This window comes from Homo sapiens, chromosome 3 (assembly GCF_000001405.40).
Source record: "Homo sapiens chromosome 3, GRCh38.p14 Primary Assembly".
Lineage (NCBI taxonomy): Eukaryota > Metazoa > Chordata > Mammalia > Primates > Hominidae > Homo > Homo sapiens.
The window spans coordinates 45,107,667-45,133,188 of NC_000003.12; the positions used below are offsets into that span (position 1 = coordinate 45,107,667).

General features: G+C 43.7%; 1 protein-coding gene across 6 annotated transcripts in view, besides 3 other annotated features; it reads right to left on the reverse strand.

The window, feature by feature from the left end:
* Positions 1-25,522, reverse strand: part of CDCP1 (CUB domain containing protein 1) — a 64,206-nt gene that overhangs the window by 25,390 nt on the left and 13,294 nt on the right. For 3 of the 6 annotated variants that reach the window (XM_024453718.2, XM_017007070.2, NM_022842.5), the window contains exons 2-4: positions 10,746-10,955; positions 4,417-4,779; positions 2,807-3,175 (exon numbers count right to left, since the gene is read on the reverse strand). In XM_024453718.2, the coding sequence (XP_024309486.1) occupies positions 2,807-3,175; positions 4,417-4,779; positions 10,746-10,839 (826 nt within the window). In that variant the 5' untranslated portion in view covers positions 10,840-10,955. Of the gene's footprint in view, positions 1-2,553; positions 3,176-4,416; positions 4,780-10,745; positions 10,956-17,742; positions 17,799-25,522 lie in introns of those variants that run through there. The other 3 variants (XM_047448759.1, XM_011534024.2, NM_178181.3) reach the window with 3 other exon arrangements.
* Positions 16,311-16,812: an enhancer, noted in NCBI's record as "H3K27ac hESC enhancer chr3:45165469-45165970 (GRCh37/hg19 assembly coordinates)". NCBI's record gives its function as "activates a minimal SCP1, AML or CMV promoter by ChIP-STARR-seq in naive H9 embryonic stem cells {active_cell/tissue: H9 hESC(naive)}" and the evidence as "EXISTENCE:reporter gene assay evidence [ECO:0000049][PMID:30033119]".
* Positions 16,813-17,312: an enhancer, noted in NCBI's record as "H3K27ac hESC enhancer chr3:45165971-45166470 (GRCh37/hg19 assembly coordinates)". NCBI's record gives its function as "activates a minimal SCP1, AML or CMV promoter by ChIP-STARR-seq in naive H9 embryonic stem cells {active_cell/tissue: H9 hESC(naive)}" and the evidence as "EXISTENCE:reporter gene assay evidence [ECO:0000049][PMID:30033119]".
* Positions 20,630-20,874: a silencer, noted in NCBI's record as "fragment chr3:45169788-45170032 (GRCh37/hg19 assembly coordinates)". NCBI's record gives its function as "represses an EF-1alpha promoter that drives an FKBP-Casp9 reporter gene in an ReSE screen in phorbol 12-myristate 13-acetate-treated (for megakaryocytic differentiation) K562 erythroleukemia cells {active_cell/tissue: K562(+PMA)}" and the evidence as "EXISTENCE:reporter gene assay evidence [ECO:0000049][PMID:32094911]".

The following is a 25,522-nucleotide window of genomic DNA, read 5'->3' on the forward strand; positions in this document are numbered from 1 at the left end:
ACTGGGTCACAAAGAGGTGAAGTGACTTGCCCATGGTCAAAGTAAGTGGGGGAACCAGATTCAAATCCATGCAGGCCAACTCCAGGTCATTATCCTTAATGGGGCTATGCTGCCAGCAATACAAGCTGCCTACAAACACTTAGCAAATGAGAGAGAATAAAGAATGAGGGCTGGGAGTGGTGGCTCACACCTGTAATCCCAGCACTTTGGGTGGCCGAGGCGGGTGGATCACTTGAGGCCAGGAGTTCAAGACCAGGCTGGCCAACATAGTGAAACCCAATCTCTACTAAAAATACAAAAAATTAGTTGGGTGTGGTGGCAGGCGCCTGTAATCCCAGCTACTCAAGAAGCTGAGGCAGGAGAATCGCTTGAACCTGGGAGGTGGAGGTTACAGTGAGCTGAGAGCCGAGATCACGCCACTGCACTCCAGCCTGGGTGACAGAGCAAGACTCTGCCTAAAAAAAAAAGAAAAAAAAAGAATGGGTCAGACAAACAGGTAGGGGCACAGGACTGGCTTCCTTGGGCTAGCCCTTGAAATTTAGGGTCCACATAGAGGTTCAGAGGATCAAGATGAAGCTGCCCAGAGATCAGAGTTCTCAGGCAGTCCAGCCCAACCTAAATTTATCCCCAAAGATATTTCTGCCGCCAAGTCCACTCACTCCGCTAGAAACAGTGCAAAGTTAGAGGGCTTGACACTGCTAAACACCTCTCAACGGCAGTTATTGCCCTTTAATCTCAGCACTAAATCCATGTCCTTCTTGATGCTGTTTATAGCACGTTTAACAATTTGATTAGTTTTAGAAATCAACCCAGCTGATGTTACAGTTAGCAGAATTAATCAGAGCTTCTAAGCAGCATTCCACCATGACTGAGGTGATAAACAAATCCCCCTGTCTTCTAAACCCCAAGCCCACTCCATTTCTAAATCCTTTTGTGGCTGTTTTCAACATTCTGATTGTACAGTTGTGACAGTGGAATCATAAAAATGTCTCAATGGATACACACACACACACACTATATATATATGTGCATGTATACATATATATATGCATGTATACATATATATATGCATGTATACATATATATGCATGTATATATATATATGCATGTATACATATATATGCATGTATATATATATATGCATGTATACATATATATGCATGTATATATATATATGCATGTATACATATATATGCATGTATATATATATATGCATGTATACATATATATATATATGCATGTATACATATATATATATATGCATGTATACATATATATATATATATATTTTTTTTTTTTTTGAGATGGAGTCTCACTCTGTCACCCAGGCTGGAGTGCAGTGGCCCAATCTCGGTTCACTGCAACCTCTGCCTTCTGGGTTCAAGCAATTTCCATGTCTCAGCCTCCCAAGTAGTTGGGATTACAGGTGCGCGCCATCATGCCTGGCTAATTTTTGACTTTTTTGTAGGACGGGGTTTTGCCACGTAGGCCAGGCTGGTCTCGAACTCCTGACCTCAAGTGATTTGCCTGCCTTGGTCTCCCAAAGTGCTGGGATTACAGGCATGAGCCACCGTGCCCGGCCCCTTGTATATATATCTATACACACATTATACATACATACATATGGACGTTTCCAGGGCAGCACCAGTTGGGCAATCCCTCTAGTGGATCCCACACTGCCACTTTTCAGATGCTTATCAGCCCTACAAAAAACAGCAGCACGCCATTCCACACTCCCACTTAATTTTTCTGCCTGGCTCTGCCTACTTCCTAGAAGTAAATAATAGTAAAAACAAGAATGAGAATCAGCCCTCTGAACAGCGTCCATCCTTAGCAACACACATCAGAAATGTCCTGGTTGGAGACCACTTGCCACAACTCACTCCTTCACATCATGCATGAGGCCCAGGAAGAGCCAGTCTGAGTTAATTTTGTATCTTTTATCTCAAAATCTGCACGACACCCCTCAGGGCCAAGACTGGGGTGAGGCAAGCCAGGCACCTAGGGAGCAAAGTTTAAGGAGGTGCTCACTCTCAGGGGCTGACCTTGCAGGTACATGACCCTGAGAGTGGGTACCTCCTTATATATTGCACCCTGGGCACTTTGCCTTACCCTAGTCCTGGCCTTAACTCCGCTTTTCTATGTTCATGGCATCTCAGCAACTTTTGTGGAATGATGTCCAACCTAATTCTCATCATCCTAACTGGGCTTCAGTGTGGGCCAGAGCACAGGCTCAGGGTTCTGAGCTTGCTCTGCTCTTAACAAGCTGTGTGATGTCAGGCCAGTTCCATAACCTCTCTGAACCTTCTGGTTTCTCATTAGTAAATAAAGATAATTCCCACCTCCCCTACAGGGTTGCAATAAAGATTAGCTGAGATTGTGTAAGTGGCGTGCCTAACACAAGATGACATGCAGAGTATGTGTCCATAGTAGGGGTGCTGAGCCATAAAACTGTAAGTTCCCATCATCATCGCTGATGGTGCGGGTGACATCCTCATTCACATTGCAGGGTCAAGACATAAGATCTAGAAAAATGACCTTTCAATGCCTTCGTTAAAAACAATTTAGCATCTTGAATGCAAGATTTCTTTTTATTGTGCTGAAATGGAACTACATACCGGGTGTTCACCAACAAGCCTGTCTAACTGCCTAGCAACCCACTTCCTGAAACTCTTGCTGGGTCCAGAGTCTAAGTGTTTCAGAAGCCACAGATGAGAAACAGGAAGGGAGCCTCACCCAGGCAGACTACCCAGGAAACAACGAAGGTGCTGGAGGAGGAAGAAAAAGGAAAGTGGGGCTCACTCACTGCTTTCATTTTGTGGATGTTGGACCAAAACTTGGAACTGCAGCCGGAGGATCCCTGGACTTTGGGCATCTTGGTCACAGCCTTGCAGAGAGAGGTTGAAGTTCCCCGCCATGTTCCCAGGCTGCTTGTCCTCCAGCTTGAACACCTCGGGGTTGGTGGTGGAGCCCGGGATGTAGTATTCAACCCGCTCCTCCTTCCTCTCACAGTTGGAGAGGTTGAAGTTGAGGAAGGAGACGCTGGCCCGCAGGTGTGCAGGAACGACAAACTGCCACGTCATGAGCTCATCCTCAGGGAAGCCTTCTGGGTAGTTGGCAGACATCAGGGTTGCTGAGCCTTCACCCTCAAACACAGACTCGATGATGCACAGACCTAGTGGGAGTGGAACCCAAACCAGAAAGAATAGGGAGCCATTAGACCCTGTCCTGGTTGTCTGCAGCCGAGGGGTGGGGGTGTAGGAAAAATGACTGCAGTTCTCAGATCCTGAGCAGTGGGTCTAGATACTGTATATTTGGACTCAAGGCAGAGATTGGGAATGCAGACACATCAGTGGTGTGCGAGTAAATATTAAAAACCGGTCCAGTGGTAGAGGGGAGAGCCCTGACTTATAGCGTCTGCCCACTTCCATAGTGGATGTAAATAATCCCACCACGGTTGATTTCAAGCTACCAACACCAGGTGACTGAATGTGGAGTTGGGCAGTAGCACACCTTTATATTATTCCCTCCATACAGATACGACAACACAAATAACCCTGAAAGCACAGGCAACAGTAAAATAATTAGGAAGTGATGAGTTTTGAGTATTTATTACCTTTGTTTTAAAAATAATTTATTTAATTATGTTAATTTAATTCTATTTTTTTATAACGGATCTGTTTCACATCAGCTCACAAAATGCCTGAACACTTAACAGTCAGCTCTCTGCCAGGTGCAGTGGCTCATGCCTGTAATCCCAGCACTTTGGGAGGCCAAGGCAGGAGGATTACCTCAGGTCAGGAGTTCGAGACCAGCCTGGCCAACATGGTGAAACCCCGTATCTACTAAAAATACAAAAGTTAGCTGGGTGTGGTGGCGCACGACTATAGTCCCAGCTACTTGGGAGGCTGAGGCAGAAGAATCGCTTGAACCTGGAGGTAGAGGTTGCAGTGAGCCAAGACAGTGCCACTGCACTCCAGCCTGGGCCACAGACTGAGACTCTTTCTCAAAACAAACAAAAACAAAAATAAAAACAAAAAACAGCTTTTATGAGCCAGTGTGAGTGAGCTCTGCACATCACTGATACGTTTACAGAAAATGTGAAAGAGATGGAAGACAAAGAAGTTAGAAATGAAGCAATCAAGGTGGGTCTGTAGAACCAATCCCTTGTCATTTTTTTGAAAACAAGTATCACATGCAAAAAGGACAAAGAGAATCACCCCGTTTGTTTAATAGAGAAGAGGGGGTTCACACTAGGAATGCATGACCCATGTCACTTATAAGAGAGCTAGATCTTCCTTTATGGTTTTTATATTGAGTATTAGAGATTTGCTGACATTTGACCATTTCTGACCTAGAACAATGATGATCTTGTGTGTTTTAACCTAATCAGATAGCAGGGAGGGGCTTTCTCACGTTTTATAGATGAGCGGTTTGCAATGCTGAAGCCGGAGACATTTCTGGGGTGGAACCATGGGAGGTGTAAGGCCATTTTCACTCCTTCTTGCATCTTGATCCGGGACACAGTGCCATTGCTGCAGAAGGTTCCGATCCTGACCACGGTGGCATCGATTCGGCCGCTGATGGAGTGAGTGACTCCGTCTGGGCAGCTCTCACCCGGACCGATCTGCCTCAGGCGAGGGATGGAAAACTGCAGCTCTAAACCGATGCTCTTATGAGCTTTGACATCCCAGATGAAAGTTCTGTTGAGGGTAGGCAACAACGATGTCGAGGGCTGAAGCTGAACCTCCCCAAAAGGACATGGGCCTGACATACAGTCTGAAAAACAGTCACAGAAGCAATTTTGATCACAGATGCTCCAAGGCCCCACACCACTCCTCCTCCACCACTCAGCCCCCTGTAGTAGACTCTTTGGGGCTCCCCCAAGGTGGCCTTTACCAGGCAGGGGCACCCAGGCCCCAACTGCTGTGAGTCTTAGTGGCCAATGGCTCACAGATGTACCCTCCTTCGGGGAAGTGCCTCAGCTCGGGGGAGCTGCCTTGAACCAGAAAAGCCTGAGAGGTGTTGCAGCCCCTCATGCCCATCCCAAGGGAGAGGTGCTGTCTACAGCCAATAATGGCCTCCTGCAGGAATTAAAAAGTCTGACCTCCTTGCTTCAAGTGATGTAACCTGGGTATGCCATTCATACTCCAGAGCTCCCCATGGGGTCAGGCTGAAGCTACTCTTCAGCTAAAACCGCATCTGCATTCAGCTACGTGCCCTGCTCTATCCTGCTTTCCTCACTTCTGAGAGCACTTTCTTGATCACTGACTTAAACAAAAAATCCTGTCTCAGGCTCTGCTTCCAGGTCACCAGACTTGAGACATCTCTTAACTACTGTGATTTCCAGATTAAGTTCCTGGGGTCCAGTGGGTGAAGCCAGAAGGAAGGCATTTGTAGCAGAGTCTGTGCTTTGGGATCTCCTACTTCTCCTGTACTAAGAGAGTCACGATTTCACAATTTGTAGAGCACAGTGCCAAGATCCATCCTTTAAAACTGGTTTCCCCATCAACACATTCATCAACATAGCAAATATACTCTGAACGTGCAACTCCCCTGGACAGCTGGAATCTGGCGGCGCCATTTCTCTTCTTGCACTGCCTTAATGCTGATATTTTATAACCACTGCAGTTGAATTTCTTTTTTTAAGGCTAACAGCTAATAACATCCTTTGATATATTTGTTTCCTAAGCCTTTTAAAACAAAGCAAGAAATATTATCAAAGAGAAAACAAGAGGAAAGTGAGGGGACGAAACAGAAAGTAGGCAATGTAACATTAAGGTTTTGTTGTTTTGAGCAGGGGGCATCTGAAAGGTGTGATAGACTCTGGCCTCCATAATAATAATTTGTGAATCTTTACTGCTGTTCTATTGGGGTATTTGAAAGTATTGTCCACTCAAAATAGAATTATGGAGAATTTCAGATCAGTCTTGGATCTCTGAGGTCATCCAAGCCAGACCTCTAATTTTTGCAAAGCAGCTGTGGATCCAGGTGACTTGGGCTGGCACTTGCAGCAAGTACACGGCAATTCCAGATCCCAGGACGAAAGCTCAGGCTGTGTTTGGTCAGCCCTTTCTTGCCAATGCGCTATGCTGTCTAACCAATAACACAGGGTTAGATAACATGGTGACTAACGTGACTAAAATTAGACTTTGCGTGTTAGTAAAGGTAGTTCCTATTTTAGGAGCTCATGGAAACTTCAATGTTTATATCAAGCCACCTCTTTCTTTCAAAAGCAGACCTCAAGTGATTTTCCACGCACACCTCCAGTGTGCCCAGGGCAACATCAGTTGGCTCTGGCTAGGTTCTGTACTCTTGTGGAAACATTTAACTCTAGTAAGGCAGTGACTCTTAGCTCTGGTTCTACCTACAACTCACCTGCAGGCCGTTTAAAAACTACACATGCCTGGACCATCCCAGGGATTCTGATTTAATTCTATAGTAAAATCTGGAGTCAAAAAGCCCCATCTCCCAGCCTCAGCTCTGTCAGCAGCCATGTGACACTGTGAGAGTCAGGTTATGAAAGCAATTTTTCATTTGATGCTAAGAGCTTTGTTTTTTAGGATGAACACACAGGTAAGAGTAGTCAAAATGATTGGCATGCCTCGGAATCTTCTCCTGTACTCTGTCCAGTGAAAACATTTTAAATAACTAAAATGATTCCTGTCCAGAGGATGGAGAAGTATTATTTCTGAAGTGATTCATAAACTCATTTTCCCCAGCAGATTTCTAATTTCATTAACTCTCTTTTTTTTTTTTTTCTTTTTGGAGATGCAGTCTTGCTCTGTCACCCAAGCTGGAATGCAGTGGCACCATCTTGGCTCACTGCAACCTGTCTCCCAGGTTCAGGTGATCCTTCTGCCTCAGCCTCCCAAGTAGCTGGGACTATAGGTGTGTGCTGCCATGCCTGGGTAATTTCTTTTGTATTTTTAGTAGGGGTTTCACTATGTTGACCAGGCTGGTCTTGAACTCCTGACCTCAGGTGATCCATCTGCCTCAGCCTCCCAGAGTGCTGGGATTACAGGCATGAGCCACCATGCTCAGCCAACTTTCATTAGTTCTCATGGAACTATTCAAGAAGAGATGAGAATGGAGACATCAAATTTTATCTGATGCTGATTTCAGAATGATTGTTCAGAAAAGGCAATGAAGGGCAGGTGGACCACTGGACCTGATTCAGTGTCTAGATTTATTATTTTAGAAATTGATATTTTCATATCATTTTCAAAAGTTGTGAGCATGGGTTTTTACTACATAGTAAGCCATGTGGGCATCCTAGGATTGAGAGACTGAATGCATTCAAAGGCTTGACTTGTGAAATGTGTCACTTGTTACATTTTTCCTTTTTCAAAGTGGAAGTCACTTTATTGGTTTAACTGATTATAAAAGTAATGTACAGTCGTTTTAAAAACAAACAAAAAGACAAGTGGGTGTGGTGGTGTGTGCCCAGCTACCCCAGAGGCTGAGGTGGGAGGATCACCTGAGCCCAGGAGGTTTGAGGCTACAGTGAGCTGTGGTCACCACTGCACTCCAGCCTGGGTGACAGAAAAAAAAAAGGTGGGGGTGGGGTGGGGTGGGGCGGGGAAGTACAGAAAAGTAGAAAGAAGAAAATGTCACCTGTTCCCCTCTGCCATCCCCTATAGAGTAGTATAAAGTTAGAATTTTGGAGTTTTGGAGTTTATCCCTCCAGACTTTGGGTTCTGTATGATTGTGTGTGCATGTTTGTGTGCATGTATGTAAGTGTGCATGTGCACATGTGTGTATTTAATAGAGTAGCATCAAACTATATAAACTATTGTCCTACTATAAGCTGCATTGTTTTTAATGGAACAAAACTATTTTGGGCATCTTTCTATGTCAAATACACAAACTTACTTCATTCTCTTAGTAGCAACACACCATTCCACTGCGTTCTTAAATATATCAACGTTCTCTTTAACTCTGTAAAAGCTTCATTAAAATTTTAATTATAATTGACTTAAATTGATAAATTAATATAGGGGAGAATTTACACTTTAAAAATACTTAGTATTTCTTTTTTTTTTAAATTTTTTTAAGACAAATTCTCACTCTGTCATCCAGGCTAGAGTGCAATGGCACAATCTCGGCTCACTGCAACCTCTGCCTCCTGGGTTTGAGTGATTCTCCCACCTCAGCCTCCCGAGTAGCTGGGACTACAGGCACATGCCACCACGCCTGGCTAATTGTTTGTAAAAATATTTATTTTTCCTATCAAGGAACATGGCATATCTTTCCATTTATTTAAGTCTTCTCTTTTGTCTTTCAACAGAATTTTATATTTTGCTTCGTATACTTTATGTACTTATTAAGATAATCTCTATATATTTAATTAGAGATTCTGAATAATGGTGACCAAGGGCATGCATAATAAGCCTCCTTATGTTATTGCCTGTTTTATTGGTAATGCTGCCATATCTGATAGTTAAATATGGTATTTGCTATCAGTTCTTGATAGATGCTCTTTATTGAATTAAGAAAATAACCTTCCATTCCTGATTTACTAAGAGTGTTTTATGAAAGACATTTAAAATCTATGTTCATACTGTTCTGTTAAAAAAAAAAAAAAAAGACATCTAAAGTCATCTATTGAGATGATCATATACAGTTTTTTCTCTCTAACCTAATAATGCAAAGCATCACATTAACTGATTAGCCAGGTGGTTTATGTATCATCTATGGCAGATTTCACTCTGTAATAGAAGAGTTGAGGAGCCATAGTGTTCCGTTAAAAAAAAAAAGACATTTAAAATCATCTATTGAGATAATCATATGTAGTTTTTTCCTCTCTAACCTAATAATGCAAAGCATCACATTAACTGATTTGCCAGGTGGTTTATGTATATCGTCTACAGCAGATTTCACTCTGTAATAGCAGAGTTGAGGAGCTGTGACATGATACAAACCTCCTGGCTCACGGGCCTAAGACACCTACTATCGGACCTTATCTGAAAGAAGTTTGCCAACCTGTCTCTAGAATGGTTTGAATGTCATAGAAATTATCTGCTCCTTGAAGTTTTATAGAACTCACTTGTAAAATCATCTCTAACTAACCCAAACTGTTCTCCCCTGTCTCGGGCATTTTTTCCAATCCCCTCCTTGGTTATTTATTTATTCAGTTTTCCTACCTTTCCATGAGTCAATCCAGCCCATTAAATTTTCTTTGAAAATCATCCACTTCCTTTGGATTTTCACATTTATGATGAAAACGTTATACACAGTCTCTTACAATTTTAGAAATAGTCTCTGTATATATTGTTAAGTCCATTTTTATACCTTTAATGCTGTATATTTGTATTTTCTTTCTTTTTTCCATGAGACTAGTCAGGGATTTGTCTATTTAATTAGTCTGCAGAGAACTAGGTCTTGGTATTAGTCATTAAGTGTAGTTTTTAAAATTGATTTCTAATACTTCAATTTCTCCTTTTACTTTTGAATTCCTTCTTCCTAAGGTATGGCTTTGATTGGATGACAAATAGTGCTCTTATTCTTGTTAATACATCTATTCATCCTATTTGACATGGCCCCCTTAAAATGATTGAGAAATTATAAATGCATGTTTCCCTACCTAATTATTATTATTTCCTATGTCAATCTTCTATCCCAAGCTCAAATTATGAATAATAAAACCAAATATCTATAGTTTATTTAAGTATTATGTGTCATCCATTTTTCAATCCATTATTTTATTTTATCCTCACAACTCTCTTGTTTGGTACAATAATCCTTATTTTATAGACTAGAAAACTAAGGCATTACGCAGTTGAATAATTTGCTTAAAGTCATGTGATCACGTCACATGAGTAGTAGCCCTGGAGCTTGAAGCCAAACCCAACTCCATCATTCTCCAAAGCAGCCGTCTCTTCCACTGTGTCTTATGGATCAATTGCTCTATCTTTATCTCCTCAACTTCTTTTTTTTTTTTTTTTTGAGACGTAGTCTCGCTCTGTCACCCAGGCTGGAGTGCAGTGGTGTGTTCTGGGTTCACTGCAACTTGTGCCTCCTGAGTTCAAGTGATTTTCCTGCCTTAGCCTCCCAAATAGCTGGGATTACAGGCACCTGCCACCACCCCTGGCTAATTTTTGTGTTTTTAGTAGAGACAGGGTTTCACCATGTTGGCCAGGCTGGTCTTGATGCCCAGCTAATTTTTGTATTTTTAGTAGAGACAGGGTTTCACTGTGTTGGCCAGGTTGATCTTGAACTCCTGACCTCAGGGGATCCGCCTACCTCAGCCTCCTCAGTGCTGGGATTACAGGTGTGAACCACCACGCCCGGCCTCTCCTCAACCTTCTGATTCTTTTGTCTTCCGTATCAGCCAGATATTTTTAGCACACAGGATGAGCATCACAGACCTGAAGATCTGTAGCTTGTGGGCTTCTGTAGTGCTGCCTGAAGAGCCTATGTGCACAGTGGCTAAGTGCAAAGACTTGAAAGCCACAGTACCTGGGTTCTTCTCCTGATCTTCTGCTTACTAGTTGTGCCCACTTAGGCAAGTTCCTCTCTCTGTGAACTTCTCATAGGGCTGTTTTAAAGATTAAACAAATTAAGCTGTGTAACGCATTTAGAACTCTAACTGGCCACATCAGAGCTAAATTAAAAAACTGTAGAGTTTCAGAATAGATCTTAGCTCTCTAGCATTAGAGACTGACTTAGCATGGGAAAGACAGTCAGGGAGGTGTAGAGACATTTAAAAGACATTGTCAAACAGCTCACAAGTGTCTACTTACCAATATTTTTCTGGATCTCTATGACAAAGTGATTCTCAGGACTCTGGCAGCTAAAGGTAAAGACTATTCTTTCTCCAGACTTGATGGACAACATGGTTATATGTCTTTTAGAAATGACGATGTAACAGGGTTTTGCCAGCAGAGTCGGGGTCCCCAGCTTTATGAGAACTGTAATGTTGCTTTCTCGTGGCAGAGCAATCTCAAAAGCTTCTGAAGGAAGGAAGGAAAATGAAGTAAGCAGGATGATTTAGGTCTGCAAACTGCTGTGGTCCCCGACCCCAATCTGGTTCAGAGAGGATGTCCTCTATGACAACTTTGTTCCTTCCCTCCTTTTCTGAGAAGAAGGGTGGTGCAAAATGACAGTTCCGACCTTAGCAATGAAAAAGAACCAGGATGCTGCCAGCTGGTCACTGACATGTGTTTCTTGTTTGGATTATTAATTTTTCTACAAATTGAAAACACTATACCACATTCTAGATGTCTTGAGCAGTATGCTGTTAGATATCCCATCTGAGCAGTATTAAATAACAACCAGAGTAACCACCACACCTTTTCTCAACATGACAGTAGAACAAAGTCTACACACAGAAACCATCCATCATAGGGAGACACATTTATCTGCAAAGAGCTGCTGTCCCTTGCCCTGGGTGCTTTATATGCCCAGCACATACACACATACACACGTACGTACATACATACATATGTATGTACGTATGGTAGTGGGGGCTAGAAAAACATTTGCAGAAATTAGATATAATCATATTATATCAATGAATTTGGAAAGTTAGAGCAAAACAATGCTATTATCTCAGATTGGGGTTTAGAAAAAACACCTGAGCAAACAGTATCAAGCAAGTGAGGTGGGGGTTGGTTATTAAACAGAATTGTACAAATGTCAGAGTAGGGCTCTGGTTCACAAACAAGCCCAATCTCCTTCCCATTTGCTTTGCTTGATTGATTAAGTGCTCTTAGACCAAGAAGGGAGAGCCACTTTCTCCTTAGCTGACACTGCCCCTGCCCTATCTTGGATTCTGATTATGAGTCTCCGGGCAGCTGATGGCCTGGGAACAGCAGATGATGGGAAGATCGTCTGTAGGTAAATCCTGTGGAGGGAGCCTAGGGGCTCACAGTTCATGTAGCACCATGTTCTGGTACAAACAGCTGGTCGGGATCTGTTATCGTGCTGGCACACAAATGGTGCTTGATAAACAGTTAGTGAATGAATAGCAATCTAATCAGAAGCTTTTGTTTCCCATCTATTCTTTTTTCCCTCCTTGTAAAAATTTATTTTTAAAAAATCAACCTTATTGACAGTAATTTACACACATTAAAAAGGACTCACTCATTTTGAGAGTTTTGACAAATGTATACACTCATGTGACCACCACAATCAGGATATACAAATATTTTCCTCACCCTCAAAAGTTCCCTCAGTGCCCCTCTGCAGTCAACCTCCACTCCAAGTCCTAGAAAACTGTCAATGAGTTTGTCCTGCTCTGGACCTTCATGCAAATGGAAGCCTATAGTACTTTCTCTTTTGTAGCTGGCTGCTTCTGCTCAGCATGCTTGTGAGATTCACCCACGCTGCTGCATGGGTCAGTAGTTTCCTCCTTTTTATTGCTGAGTACTATTCCATTGACAGAATAGGCCATGATTTATTTATCCATGCACCTGCTGAATGACATCTGAGTCCTCTTCAGTGTTGGACGAGCCATGTGCTATAATTTTACCATAACTGCTAGCCTGCACAAGACTGGATGTACTTCTGCCAGCTGCCATGAGTGAGCATGCTGTATTCCCACAGCTCAGCAGCTGTATGTGATCACACATTTGGATTTCTGTCACCCTTTTCTTGTGCCTCTCTCTCCATTCTACACTCTGCTCCAACCCCACTGGCCAGCTGCTCCTTACATAGTATGGAAATTGATCTCCCAACCTTATATGAACTGTAAATATTTTCCCCAGTTTATCGTTTGCCTTTTGACCTCACTTAGAATGGTTTTTCAGGTATGAACTTTACCCTCTTTGGGCCTCTGTTCCTTCATTGTAAAATGAAGGGGTGGGGCTAGAATAACTCTACACTCCCTGCCAGCTCTGAGTCTATGACTATTACCTGAGTAAGTAGGAAGCGACTTTGTAACTGGAAGAATTCCCAACTACTGCTCAGAAATGACATATCTCTCTGGGCACCAGGGCACTGCCATGGCCAGTTTTATGACTGCAAGAGTGCTTAGATTTCCATTTTTGGGGCAAAACTTCTTGTCTTTCTGGCTTCTGCGTGTAACCCTCTCCACCTTAGTCACTGTGTTCAGGCCAGTCTTGCCTTCTTTCTTGAACACACCAACCTCTTTCCCACCTCAGGGCCTTTGCACATGCTGGTCCTGACACCAAAAGTGCTTTCTCTAGAAAAAGCTGGCTCCTTGTTGTCATTCCGGTCTCAGCACAAAGGTCACATTTTCAGAGTGGCCTTCCCTGACCAGCCCACCTAAAGTGCTCCCCTCCCCCCACCACTTCAGTCCTCCTGAACCCTGCGCTTGATGTCCGTGAGCTCCTACAGGAGGCAGCAGGAACTTGCCCGTATTTTTTAGTGGTAGCCCCACGACCAAGGCAGTGCCTGATCCCCACGAGGAGACAAAACGTTTTAAGCCCCAAAACAACTCCATATAAAACTATTAGTCCCTGTGTGCTTGTCTTCACCGCATTTAATTTCTCATAGACATACTACCATTCCCATATTTTACTTTCGGCTAATAAATCCTGGCAAGAACAAGGGACTATGCATCTTTTAATTAATAGCTTGAGAGAGAATATATTCTCAGGGGCAGAAGTTTTATTTGCTCAAATGCTTGGTCTTCAAGCAGTGTGGCCATTTAGAATCTTCTGAGGCTGAGGAGTTCCTCAAGATGTCAGATTAAAAATGAATCCAGATCTATGTTCAGAAACCCAGTTGCCAGGTTTATATCTGAGCTGTATATTACAACTCTTGTGTTCTTTTTCTGTAATCATGAAAACGTCTAACTGTGTTATTTGTAAAAAAAATTCTTGGAGCCCTCAGTCTCTCCAAGTTGGGCTAATTCACCAGCAAGTGAAGCTGAGTCCAATCTGAGGCTACAGCCCATCTAGCTATGTTACCAATTTCTTTCTTATTCCCATTTCCCCTTCTGTCAGCTTTTTTATCCTTTATTTAAAAATTCCTGCCCCTATGATCATTATTTTAAATCAGTGCTAGACGCTAAGCAGAGCTGCATTGCCTAAGGCTAGAGATGGGGAGAGGGAATGGAGTACCAGGGGGCAAAGCAGACCGTGCAGGGTGAGGGGACTGTTTTGTATCTTGACGATAGCAGTGATTACACCTTGTATACAAATGCCAAAATTCATCAAACTGTACACTTAAAATTGATGATGTTTATTTTATGTAAGCTATACCTTAATAAAAAGAAAAAGTGTTCAAAAGATCATGTTTTCACACAAAGTAGGCATGTAATAAATTAATAAAAGAATAATCATTACCACAGTTAAAATATGGTTTAATAATATTTTGGGGGAAGCCTAGGTATATGTAATATTTTAAATCTCTTTAACTTAGATTCAGAGAAGACCAAAGCTGATCTCACCAAAATCTCTCCACTCAGTTCTTCTCTGTTGTTTGGCCAGGTTAGTACCCAAAATAATTCTGGGTATATGGCAAGGTATTCTTTTATAATGACAGTCAAAGAAAAATGTATAATCTGTATTTTTTTTTTTTTTTTTGAGACGGAATCTCACTCTGTTGCCCAGGCTGGAGTGCGGTGGCGCAACCTCGGCTCACTGCAACCTCCGCCTCCTGGGCTCAAGCTATTCTCCTGCCTCAGCCTCCCGAGTAGCTGGGACTAAAGGCATGTGCCACCACGCTCAGCTAATTTTTGTATTTTTAGTAGAGCTGGGGTTTCACCATGTTGGCCAAGCTGGTCTTGAACTCCTGACCTCAGGTGATCCACCCACCTCAGCCTCCCAAAGTGCTGGGATTACAGGCGTGAGCCATTGTGCCCAGCCAGAAAAATGTATAATCTCTTTTAGAAATTTTTTTTTGAGACAGAGTTTCCCTCTGTTGCCCAGGCCGGAGTGCAATGGCGTGATCTTGGCAACCTCTGCCTTTGGGACTCAAGTGATTCTCGTGCCTCAGTCTCCCGAGTAGCTGGGACTACAGGTGTGCCACCACGCCTGGCTAATTTTTGTATTTTGTAGTAAAGAGGGGGTTTCACCATGTTGGCTGGGCTGGTCTTGAACTCCTGGCCTCAAGTGATTTGCCCACCTCGGCCTCCCAAAGTGCTGGGATTACAGGTGTGAGCCACTGCACCTGGCCTAGAAATTCATTTTTTAAAGAATTTTGGAAATGATGTATTCATTCGACAAACATTTTCTGGGTTCATAATCTATTCTAGGGACACACTTGGTGCAAATGACTTAATGATAAAAACAGCCAGAGTCCCTGCCCTTAGGGAATTAATAGCCTAGACTAAGGGCCTACAAATGGTCTGTGATAAAGTTCTAAGCCCTAGTAGGTATAACAAGGGCTCTGGGAATCTGTACTGGTCTATGCTGAGACGTAGGGATTTTTTTTTTTTTGGTCCATGGTGAGAAGTAGGGATTCGCTTTTACTTTTTTTTCCATATGGAGAGCCCATTGTTCCAACTCTAAGCGTTGAATATACCAGTCCTTCCTTCATGAATTACTAATGCTACTTCTGTTGTTTCTATTTTTTATTTATGGTCTTTCACACAAACTCATTTTGCAATCAAGGAAGATGAAACCTTACGAGGGTTAAATGACTCACTCCTGGTAGATGTTTAACGTCTTAATATGTTTCTTTGCCCTGGCTGAGATGATCAACCCAGCACGTTCTACTGTCCAGCTGTAGTTTGTAACTATTCTTTGGTATACCAGACCAGAGAATTTGGGCTTGAGTAATCCCCCACCTGGTGTCCAGCTCATAGTTCAGAGGAAACAACTAAGCTAAAGACACATGATAGGCAAAGCTGAATTTAGCTACCTTTCCAACAGGAGGAGATGACTTATATTATAGGCTCTTTTCTAGGGTCACAGCCAAGGACACATCACTCACATGGCTGTCATTTTTAATGATCCCCCTCATCCTAACTGATAAATAAGTTAGCTAGAAGGGGTGAACAGGAGCAAGAAGATAATGATTCAACACCTTGTACATACTTGAAATGTGGACTCTCTCCTGACCCCCACCAATTCTGCCACTCTGGAGGCATTTATTTCGCTGCAATAAAAACAGTGGTAAAATCCCCACTGCTTAAGTAGAGTAACTTGTCAGCTCATTTGATCACAAATGCTTGGATCACATCTCTTTCTTTTGCCTCCCCAGGAATTTGGTATTTCATTGGTCTAATATTTCAGAAAATCATTACCCAGGTTCAGAGAAACTTAGAAATGCTCCAGATTCTGGTGTGACTTTGAGGCTTTATGGGCTGAAAGGCATCCAAGCTTTCACTAGAGCAGTGCATGGGCTCCTGGGCTTAGGGCATTTGGAAAAGCTTACAAGGCACAGGCTTGGGCTCCTGAGTCACACACAGCTCTTTTCTTCAGCTCTCCTGCCTCCTGACCTCTCCTTATTAGGACACCTTTGTGAGCATCTGCCTCACCAGCTCCTTCCTGGGCAGGCAGGGTTGGGGGAAGAATTTCCATTTGTTTTAATCATCATTCATGATTCACCATTCATTAATCACCATATCACACATCCCTGTTATTTCTTCTCCCTGCCATCCTATTTCTTTGCAATTCTCGATTCTAGTAAGGGAAACTAATGTAGGGGAGGGAATTCCAGGTGATAAACACCGGAAGTCATTTTTCTCCCAGATCTGTCAAATACAGTTTAAAAGACTGGCAAAATAACTGGCAACCCGTCTAAAATTTGTAGACGAATTGGAACAAGTTGCCTCAATTCTGGGTGTGGTTGCCTGTGGGACTCGGCTCTCATTCACCTTCTCTGTCCAAGGAAGATGGACTGAGCAGCTCCCAGCCAGGGCTGGGCTCAGCCTAGGCACCAGGAGATACATATTAAGATGCATGGTGCCCTGGAGGAGTGCCCAGGATGCCAAGGGAGGCAGACTCAGAAACCAAGAAGTTTGTGGCTGCTCAGTCACGGCTTGCATGTGAGTCAGGTTCCACTTATGGCCAAAATAGCCCTGTCCTCTCTTAGGAAGAGGTCACATTGCAGACCAACATTCCATTCTCAACAAGTCCAGCAGCTGGTGTTTCCTCCATCCATGGAGCAGATCCCTGCTTTTCAGACTGAGCATCAGATAAGTCGTGATATGCTTTTAGGGGCCAGGTTTGCAAAATACGTTTCATTAAATTGTGGATGTGCACACCATGGGAGCCCCAGGATGTCCAGCAGATTGGCAAGTTTATACCCTACCTCATATCCACCCCAAGGGGACACACACACCATTGCAATGATTTCTCCCAACCTTTATTCCCTGCAGGGAGCGAGTGTTGAATTCACACACATTGAATGAACATTTGCCTGTCTGTTCATTAGACCCAAATAGTAATTTTAGGACACCAGGGAACTTCAAGGTACTCTGAAGACATTGAGGGTCTGCTATCAACCATCTGGGGGTGGTGGTCAAGGAGGGCTTCACAGAAGGCGTATGACTTAAGATGGGTCTAAAAGAATGGATATGAGTGTGCCAACCAGGAACTGTGAGATGACTGTCAGGAAGGACAGATGGAAGGAATAGCAGGTGCAAAGATGCCAAGATATGAAAATCATGGCTTCCTTGGAGCCACTCTGGGGAGTTTGATTTGGCCAGAGTTTTGTTTGGGTGGGTAGAGGAGGCTGGAGAAGTGGGAAAGGGCTTGGTTGTTGGCCACGGAGTTTGGGCTTCACCCACTGGGACCAGCACACCTTAGCAGCTTGGTGTGGTGGTGAAGAGTACAGATTCTAGAATCAAACTGTCTAGGGTCAATTCCCGGCACTACCACTCACCCAGATGTGCTTCCTTGGGCAAATTCCTTAGCTTCTTGGTGCCTCACTTTCCTCATCTGCAAACAGGATAATAATGAAATTCCTGTAAGGCCTAAATGAGTTAATACCTACAAAGTGCTTAGAATGGTGCCAGGTAGTCAATCAATATTGGCTGTTAGTATTGTTGATATTATCAATGATAGCATATTACAACTACTACTAGCAGCGATGGGGCACCATTGAAGGGTGCTAAGCAGACAACTATAGCAGCAGTTTGGCTCTGAGTCTAAAGCCTACAGTCCTGGCTGGCTGGGTGGGGACTACGTAAGGCAGGCAAAGCACTGAAGAGGCAAACCTTAAGGAGGCACTCACTGTCAGGGCAGTGCCACTTAAGGAAGCAAGTATGAGTGCCTCCTTAAATTCTGCACACCTTATCTGCCTCACCTAGCCATGGCCCTGGCCCTGATCATTGGCTATTAATAGGCCCTTCTACATGTTGACTCATGTGACTCCAGCACCCTCACTGAGACCAGAGAAGTGACCTCCCTTCTCCAAGTTTGCTGAACTCAGGAGGCAGCTGGGACATTCTGGTTCAACCCTGGCACCTCTGCAGTCTCCACCCACCCAGGGTACCACAATGAGCTGCCCTCATAGAAGCTGCCAAGGCTGGTCAAGTTACCTAGCAGAAGAGGAGCAACTGCTGCCATTCTTTGTCTCTCTCTCTTTCTTTCTTTCTTTCTTTCTTTCTTTCTTTCTTTCTTTCTTTCTTTCTTTCTTTCTTTCTTTCCTTCTTTCTCTCTCTCTCTCTTTCTTTCTTTCCTTCCTTCCTTCTTTCTTTCCTTCCTTTCTTCCTTCCTTCCTTCTTCTCTCTCTCTCTCTCTGTTTCTTTTTTTTGTCTACCCTGGAGGTGACAGAAACTGCCATTCTTATTAAGTGAATGCAGTTGTTGGCTGATTCCAGGAAGTGGGGAGTCACCTCCAACAGAATTCATTCTAACAGTGCCTGCTGTGGGAGGGGTGGGGGTGCCAGATAGTCACATCGCCAAACTTGGAGTCTTCCTAGTCCAGTGGACCTGAGGCAGTGAGGCCTAAAGGCATAGAGAGACAACTGGTTTAGACACTCAAAATCCACGTGTCATTGACTTGGCCGGGTCCATTTACAGACTGGTAAATTGAGGTGTAAGTCTTGCCAACAACAGGAAGACCACTGATCTGCCTACCTGGAAATAGTTCATTTCCACCTTCACATAAGAAAGAACTAGAACATGAATTGCCATTTCAAGGGCTAATCATTCTCTCTTGGATGGGAGAAAAACCTTTGGAATCTAGACACCAGGCCTGTCTAAATAGTAACAACAACAAACATTTAATGATTCCTTAATATTAGGCAGCCCCGTGCATATGTTTATAAATATTTATAAATCCCCACAACCACTCCATAAAGTAGGTTCTAATATTAAACCCCATTGTACAGATGAAGAAACTGAGGCTTGGGTAGGTTAAGTAATGTACCCAGGCATATATGATTAATAAGAGGTAGAGACAAGTTTTGTGTCCCAGCTCTGACACCGGTGCCCGGGGCATGATAAATGACTATTCATCAGAGCTAGCCCCGCCCGAAGAACTCCACACACAACCAGGAACTTTCTGATGATGGTGCGTTGTTCTTACCAACAAAGTCAATCAAGGTAGAATGAAGTATTTCCAAGCTGCTGGCTTTCTAGGATATCAAAAGGAAAACATATTTGTTTTAAATGGTCCAACAAGCACACTGTATTACTGCAAATCCTCCTTCATGTCAAAGTAATTTGAAAGTATAGTTGGAATTTAAGCTTAAGATTTAAATTCCACAGAATTTGAAATGTTTGGGGCGTGGTTGTTCTTTTGTATTGTTCTTTTTTGGCAGTGCCAGGTGTAAGGTTCTAAGAAAGGGAACTGGCATGGTTCCACTGCTGATGGCTCCACAGCTTCATGAGGTCTGCCCGGGGGGTGTGGGCATGGGAAGTTAATGTGGCTGAGTTAGTGGCAAAAGAAAAGCAGCCATGATTCTAGAACAAAGCACTGGGAATGAAAGGCCAGTGCCAAGTTTTAGCAGAAAAGCATGCTATAGAAGCCCTGGCCTGCAGGACTCACTTCTCTAGACAGCTGTCAATGAGACTCATGGGAAAATCCGATGCAAGTTTGAGTCAATTTCAACCAGGCTTCTGCTTTGGCTTCACAGGAAATGCTTCTTCCTAAAAGAGACCTCCACCTGTCCTTCTGGGTATCTGAGCTGTAAAGCCTTTCATCCACTGGTTTGGAAGTCAAGTAGGACCTGCCAGGACCTGCCAATTCCCATTCCCCACCCCACTCCTTCCACCTTATTCCCATGGCTGGTTTCAGGAAAGAGCCTGTCAAGACAGCAGGGCAAATCTCTCATTCTCCCTCTGAGAAGTAAAGGGATGTGAAATGATGGCTGCTTACCAGACTCCCCTAGAAAGAAGCTGGGGCAAGGTACAGCCGTCAGGCCAAGCTGAGGAAATGCTTTCAGGCTACTGTTGCAGGTCTGGAGAAAGGGATGGGTGGCAGGGCAGGTGACCATCCCATTCCCCAACCCCAACGGCAGGTGCACCTCCCAACTGAAGATACTGTGCCACAGGTGGCTACAAGAACTTGCCTGCCATTCTGCCATTATAGGCTCTCCAAAGGAAAGGACCACATTAAACACTGCAGTGATCAGTTAACACCCAGGAAGGATTGGACATAGACCCTAGTTATCAAGAAAGGACCTGGGGAGTGATCAAGCACAACCTCCCACCTGCAGTGGGCCTGAGACACAGGACTGCACTGGGAAGTCAGGGCAGGGAAGAAGGCCCGAGGGAGTAGGACAAGGGCATGCACAGTGCAGGTGGGAAGTGCAGAGACAACTTGCTGCAAAATGTTGATGAAGGCCGACTCTGGCCACATCTCTCAAGATCATTTTGCCATGAGTTACTGTCATGCCAGGTGCTGGCATACAAAGATGAACAAGGCCGGGCTCCAACTTCCAGAATTATATCCAGTGACCTCAGGGCTCAAGAGACATCAGGGTCCCACCCCCTCAGTGAGAGAGACACAAAGTTCCCATTAAAATAGTCTACTATTTCCACAGCTCTTAGATTAATTACAGAAGAGAGTAAAATTAAGTTCCAATAGCAACGTTGAAAAGAACCATGTGCACGCTTAGTCAATCCAACTTGTTGGAACAGTTTATCAACACGGGACTGTTTTATACATTCATTCACTCCCTACTCTTAATTCTCAAGGTCCTTAAGAAAGAAAATGATATGTGATGATGCAAGTTGTTTCTTTTATTTATTTTACTTTTTTGAGACAGAGTCTTGCTCTTGTTGCCCAGGCTGGAGTGCAATGGCACAATCTCAGCTCACCACAACCTCTGCCTTCCAGGTTCAAGTGATTCTCCTGCCTCAGCCTCCCGAGTAGCTGGGATTACAGGTGCCCGCCACCATGCCTGGCTAATCTGTGTACTTTCAGTAGAACGGGGTTTCACCATATTGGCCAGACTGGTCTGGAACTCCTGACCTCAGGTGATACACCTGCCTTAGCCTCCCAAAGTGCTGGGATTACAGGCGTGAGACACTGTGCCTGGCCAAGTTATTTATTTTCTAAAGTAACTGAACCATTCCTCAAAAGCAATGCTAGCAGTTCACTGTCTGCAGTGCTTATGCTTTGAATCATTTTTCTAAAGTGGTGACAGGTTTGCACAGAACCATCCAAACTCTTCTGTTGCATTTTTCCCTTTTATGATCAAAGACACATGCCATATGAGAGAGGTGGCCCTGTCTGGGTCACAGTCTATATCACAGTCTGTAGCAAAAGGACACATCTGCGTATAAACCCCTCTGAGACTGAGGCCATCTTAAGGCTCCTTGTCAATCCAAAACACGGACATTAACATTTAATTCCAGATTGAATCACACCGTATCGGTGAAGGAATGGTTTCCAAGAGGACCACAGAGGTAAGAAAGCTGCATAATAACAGACTTTGAACACGGGAATTGCAGAATTAAATAACAAATATAACTCACCTTGTGACCACTGTAAATAATTCATACAAGATGCTAAAATGCCACAAGGCTACTTTAAATCACATTAACATTTTATGAAATGTTAAAAAGATTTATTTTGTTAAACCTTGAAGTGTGAGTCACGAGGACCATGAAAGTCACTGAGGATCACAAGGATGGCTGGAGAAAAATCAAAGGAGTGGATTAAAAAACCCATCTGTATGTACACTCAGGGACACACACGCAAAGGCCCACAGCTCCCCTCCCTCACCTGCTAAATGTTTAGAAGTTACTGAATTTCCAGTGTCTTTAGTATTCCCTCCAGAGTACCTCATTCCAATGGTCCAACCTTGCCATCAGAGATTAAATAGTTGTTCAAGTTCTTCTGACAAAAAGTCAGCAGCGGGGTGGTTAAACAAAAATCCACACACAAAAGACTTGATATAAATCCTATTTATATCAAGTTCAAGAAGACAAAACCAATCTGTGCTTGTATGTCAGAATAGTGAACCTGGGGTGGGGAAGGTGGGCAGGTGATTAGAAAGGGGTAAGAGAGAAAATTCTGCAGTACTAGAATGTTCCAAATCTTGGTAACAAGACACACACACACACACAATATGACACACACACACACCTAAAAATTATCCAGCTATACGCTTAAGATTTGGGTACTTAAGTCTCAATAAAACAACTTTTTTTTTTTTTTTGAGACACAGTCTCATTCTGTCACCCAGGCTGCAGAGCAGTGGTGTGATCTTGGCTCACTGCAGCTTCGGCCTCCCAGGCTCAAGCAATCCTCCCACCTCAGTCTCCTGGATAGCTGGGACCTCAAACGCATGCCACCACACCTGACTAATTTTTTAATTTTTGTAGAGCCAGGGTATCACTATGTTGCTCAGGTTGGTCTTGAACTCCTGGGCTCAAGCGATCCTCCTGCCTTGGCCTCCCAAAGTGCTGGGATTACAGGCTTGAGGCTGTGTCCAGCCACAATAAAACAATTCTTAAAACTCAGTAAAACCATTGCTAGCTATGTGAAACTTTCTTGGATGCTGAGAAGCTCCTCTCCCGCCATCCTTCTGGACATACACCAAACCCCTTCTGAGTCGATCTTTGTGCCTGTAAGGTCCTGGGCATAAGGTCTCATCCACAGATGGTTCAGTCTCTGCCCTCAAGGTACTAGGTTCTTGCAGGGCTTCACGGTTCTTGTTACAACAAATTGTTGTTTGCACAACTCTGAAAATTGAGGAGAAAAACCTGTTGGTCCTTCCTCATGATCTGAACCCTAAGTGCAGTGAGTTATGCTCAGGGGAGTTGCTTACAGGTGTTGTCCCTGGGCCTTGTAAGGGGAGGAGCTTCCTTTTTAGCAGAGACAGTCTAGCATTAGAAACCAATAGTATATTTACAAAGCTAGCCATAGAATTGGAAGGTATGCTTCATTTTTTTTTTCTTTCAGTGACAGGGTCTCGTTTTGTTGCTCAGGCTGGAGTGCAATGGCACAATCACAGCTCACTGCAGCCTTGACCTCCCGGGCTCACGCAATCCGCCCACCTCAGCCTCCTGAGTAGCTGGGACCACCAGCGAATGACACCATGCCTGGCTAATTTTTTTGTTTTCATTTTTGTAGAGACGGGGGTCTTCCTATGTTGCCCAGGTTGGTTTTGAACTCCTAGGCTCAAGCTTTAGCCTCCCCAAATGCTGGGATGACGGGTGCATGCCATCGTGCCTGACCTATGCTTCACTTCTTTAAAAAAATTTTTTTTATTGTGGTTAAAAAAAAAAACCCAACTCAATAAAATAGAAAAGGGAAAAAAGCACCTATAAATAAACCCTGCAAATATTTCTTTTTGCTTTTTTATTATAGTAAAATATGCATACACAAACTTTATCATTTTAACCGTTTTAAAGTGTGTAGTTCAGAAGCATTAAGCACATTCACACTGTTGTGCAACCATTACCACCATCCGCCTCTGGAATGTTTTCATTATCCTAAACAGAAACCCTGTATCCATTAAATTATAACTCCCATCTCTCCTCTCAACCCTGGTAACCAGCATCCTACTTTGTCTCTATGAATTTGACTACTAATCTAAGTGGAATCAGACAGTACTTGTCCTTTTGTATCTGGCTTATTTCATTTAGCATAATGTAGGTGAGAATTAATTGCTAATTACTAATTTGGATGCCAACCAAACATTGACTAAAACTACATAGCCTCAAATTCATATATATTCACAGTAATCCCCTGGATTACTATGGAAGGGAGGGAGAGAAACTTGTTTAAACAAAAATGATGTCAATGACTAGAAAACTCAAAAGATGGCAAAAGGTCACGAAAAATAAGGATTTCCCTGATAAGTGAAAAGCTGGTTAGCACATAATGCAGCCCATTGACCACTACATTCAGAGACCTTACCTTGGTCTCTGTAGGCCACGCACTGAATAAGGGACACTGCTGCGGGCAGGCCTGTGAGAAATGTTCTGACAGGACTGCATTTTTTTGGCGATTAAGAGCCATGTAAGGCTGGGTGTGGTGGCTCATGCCTGTAATCCCAGCACTTTGGGAGGCCAGGGCAGGCGGATCATCTGAGGTCAGGAGTTCGAGACCAGCCTGGCCAACACGGTAAAACTCTGTCTCTACTTAAAAAAATACAAAAATTAGCAGGCGTGGTGGCACATGCCTGTAATCCCAGCTACTCGGGAGGCTGAGGCAGGAGAATCACTTGAGCCCCGGAGGCAGAGGTTGCAGTGAGCTGAGATCACACCACTGCACTACAGCCTGGCGACACAGTGAGACTCCGTCTCAAAAAAAAAAAAAAAGACATATAAAAGAAAACGTTCTTACTTGTCTGAACATAAGCCATGAGCTGCTTAAACTAAAAATAAAGTTCAGTTTAAAATGAGCTTTTCCAGAAGGTTACATCCGGCTATTTCTACCTTACCATTTGTCATCCCTCAAAGGATAACACTAGAGACGGGGTGGGGTGGTAGTAGGGAAACACTTCACTACCAAAATGTTCAGCTCTAGGTTAGTTCAGCCTGCAGCTTTGAAAATCCACTCATGGGGGAGGAACAAAAGGCAGCAGGAGAGGAGGTTCTATTAAGACAGAGACCTGTTCTGCGGCCCCCATCACCTGACCTCACATGTGTAATACTCCCTGCTTCTGTGCCTCATCACTTCAGTCACTTGGCTGGGCCACTAGAAGCCACCTGACCTCTCTGAACCATAAGTTTCTCATCTGCAGCATTTGGCTAAAAACATCAACTGTGCAGAGCTTTTACAAGCATTGGAATGAGACCACATGTGCAAAGCCAGGCATGTGGCAGGCCCTCAAAGAGTGATTGATGGCCATGATCATTACCATTCCGACAGAGGGGGCAAAGCCTCTGTGCCACGGCACCCAGTGGTGGACAGAATTCTAAGATGCCCTCCAGTGACTCACATCCTTGTAGAATCTCTTCCACTTGAGTGTGGGAAGGATGGGATATCACTCGCCTGATTAGACCATGTTGAACGGTACTGTTAACTTTAGGAAAGAAAGACTATCCTGGGTGGTTCTGGCCTAATCAGTTGAACTCTTAAAATAGGCTGGGCTTTTCCTGGAGAAAAGGAGTCGATGTGTGAAAGGAATTCAACATAAGGGAGAGTCTCTGTAGCTAGTATTGAAGATGGAGGGGTCCACATGACAAGGAATGTAGGTGGTCTCTGAAAGCTGAGAGCAGTGTTGGTTGAAAGCCAGCAAGGAAAGGGAGACATCA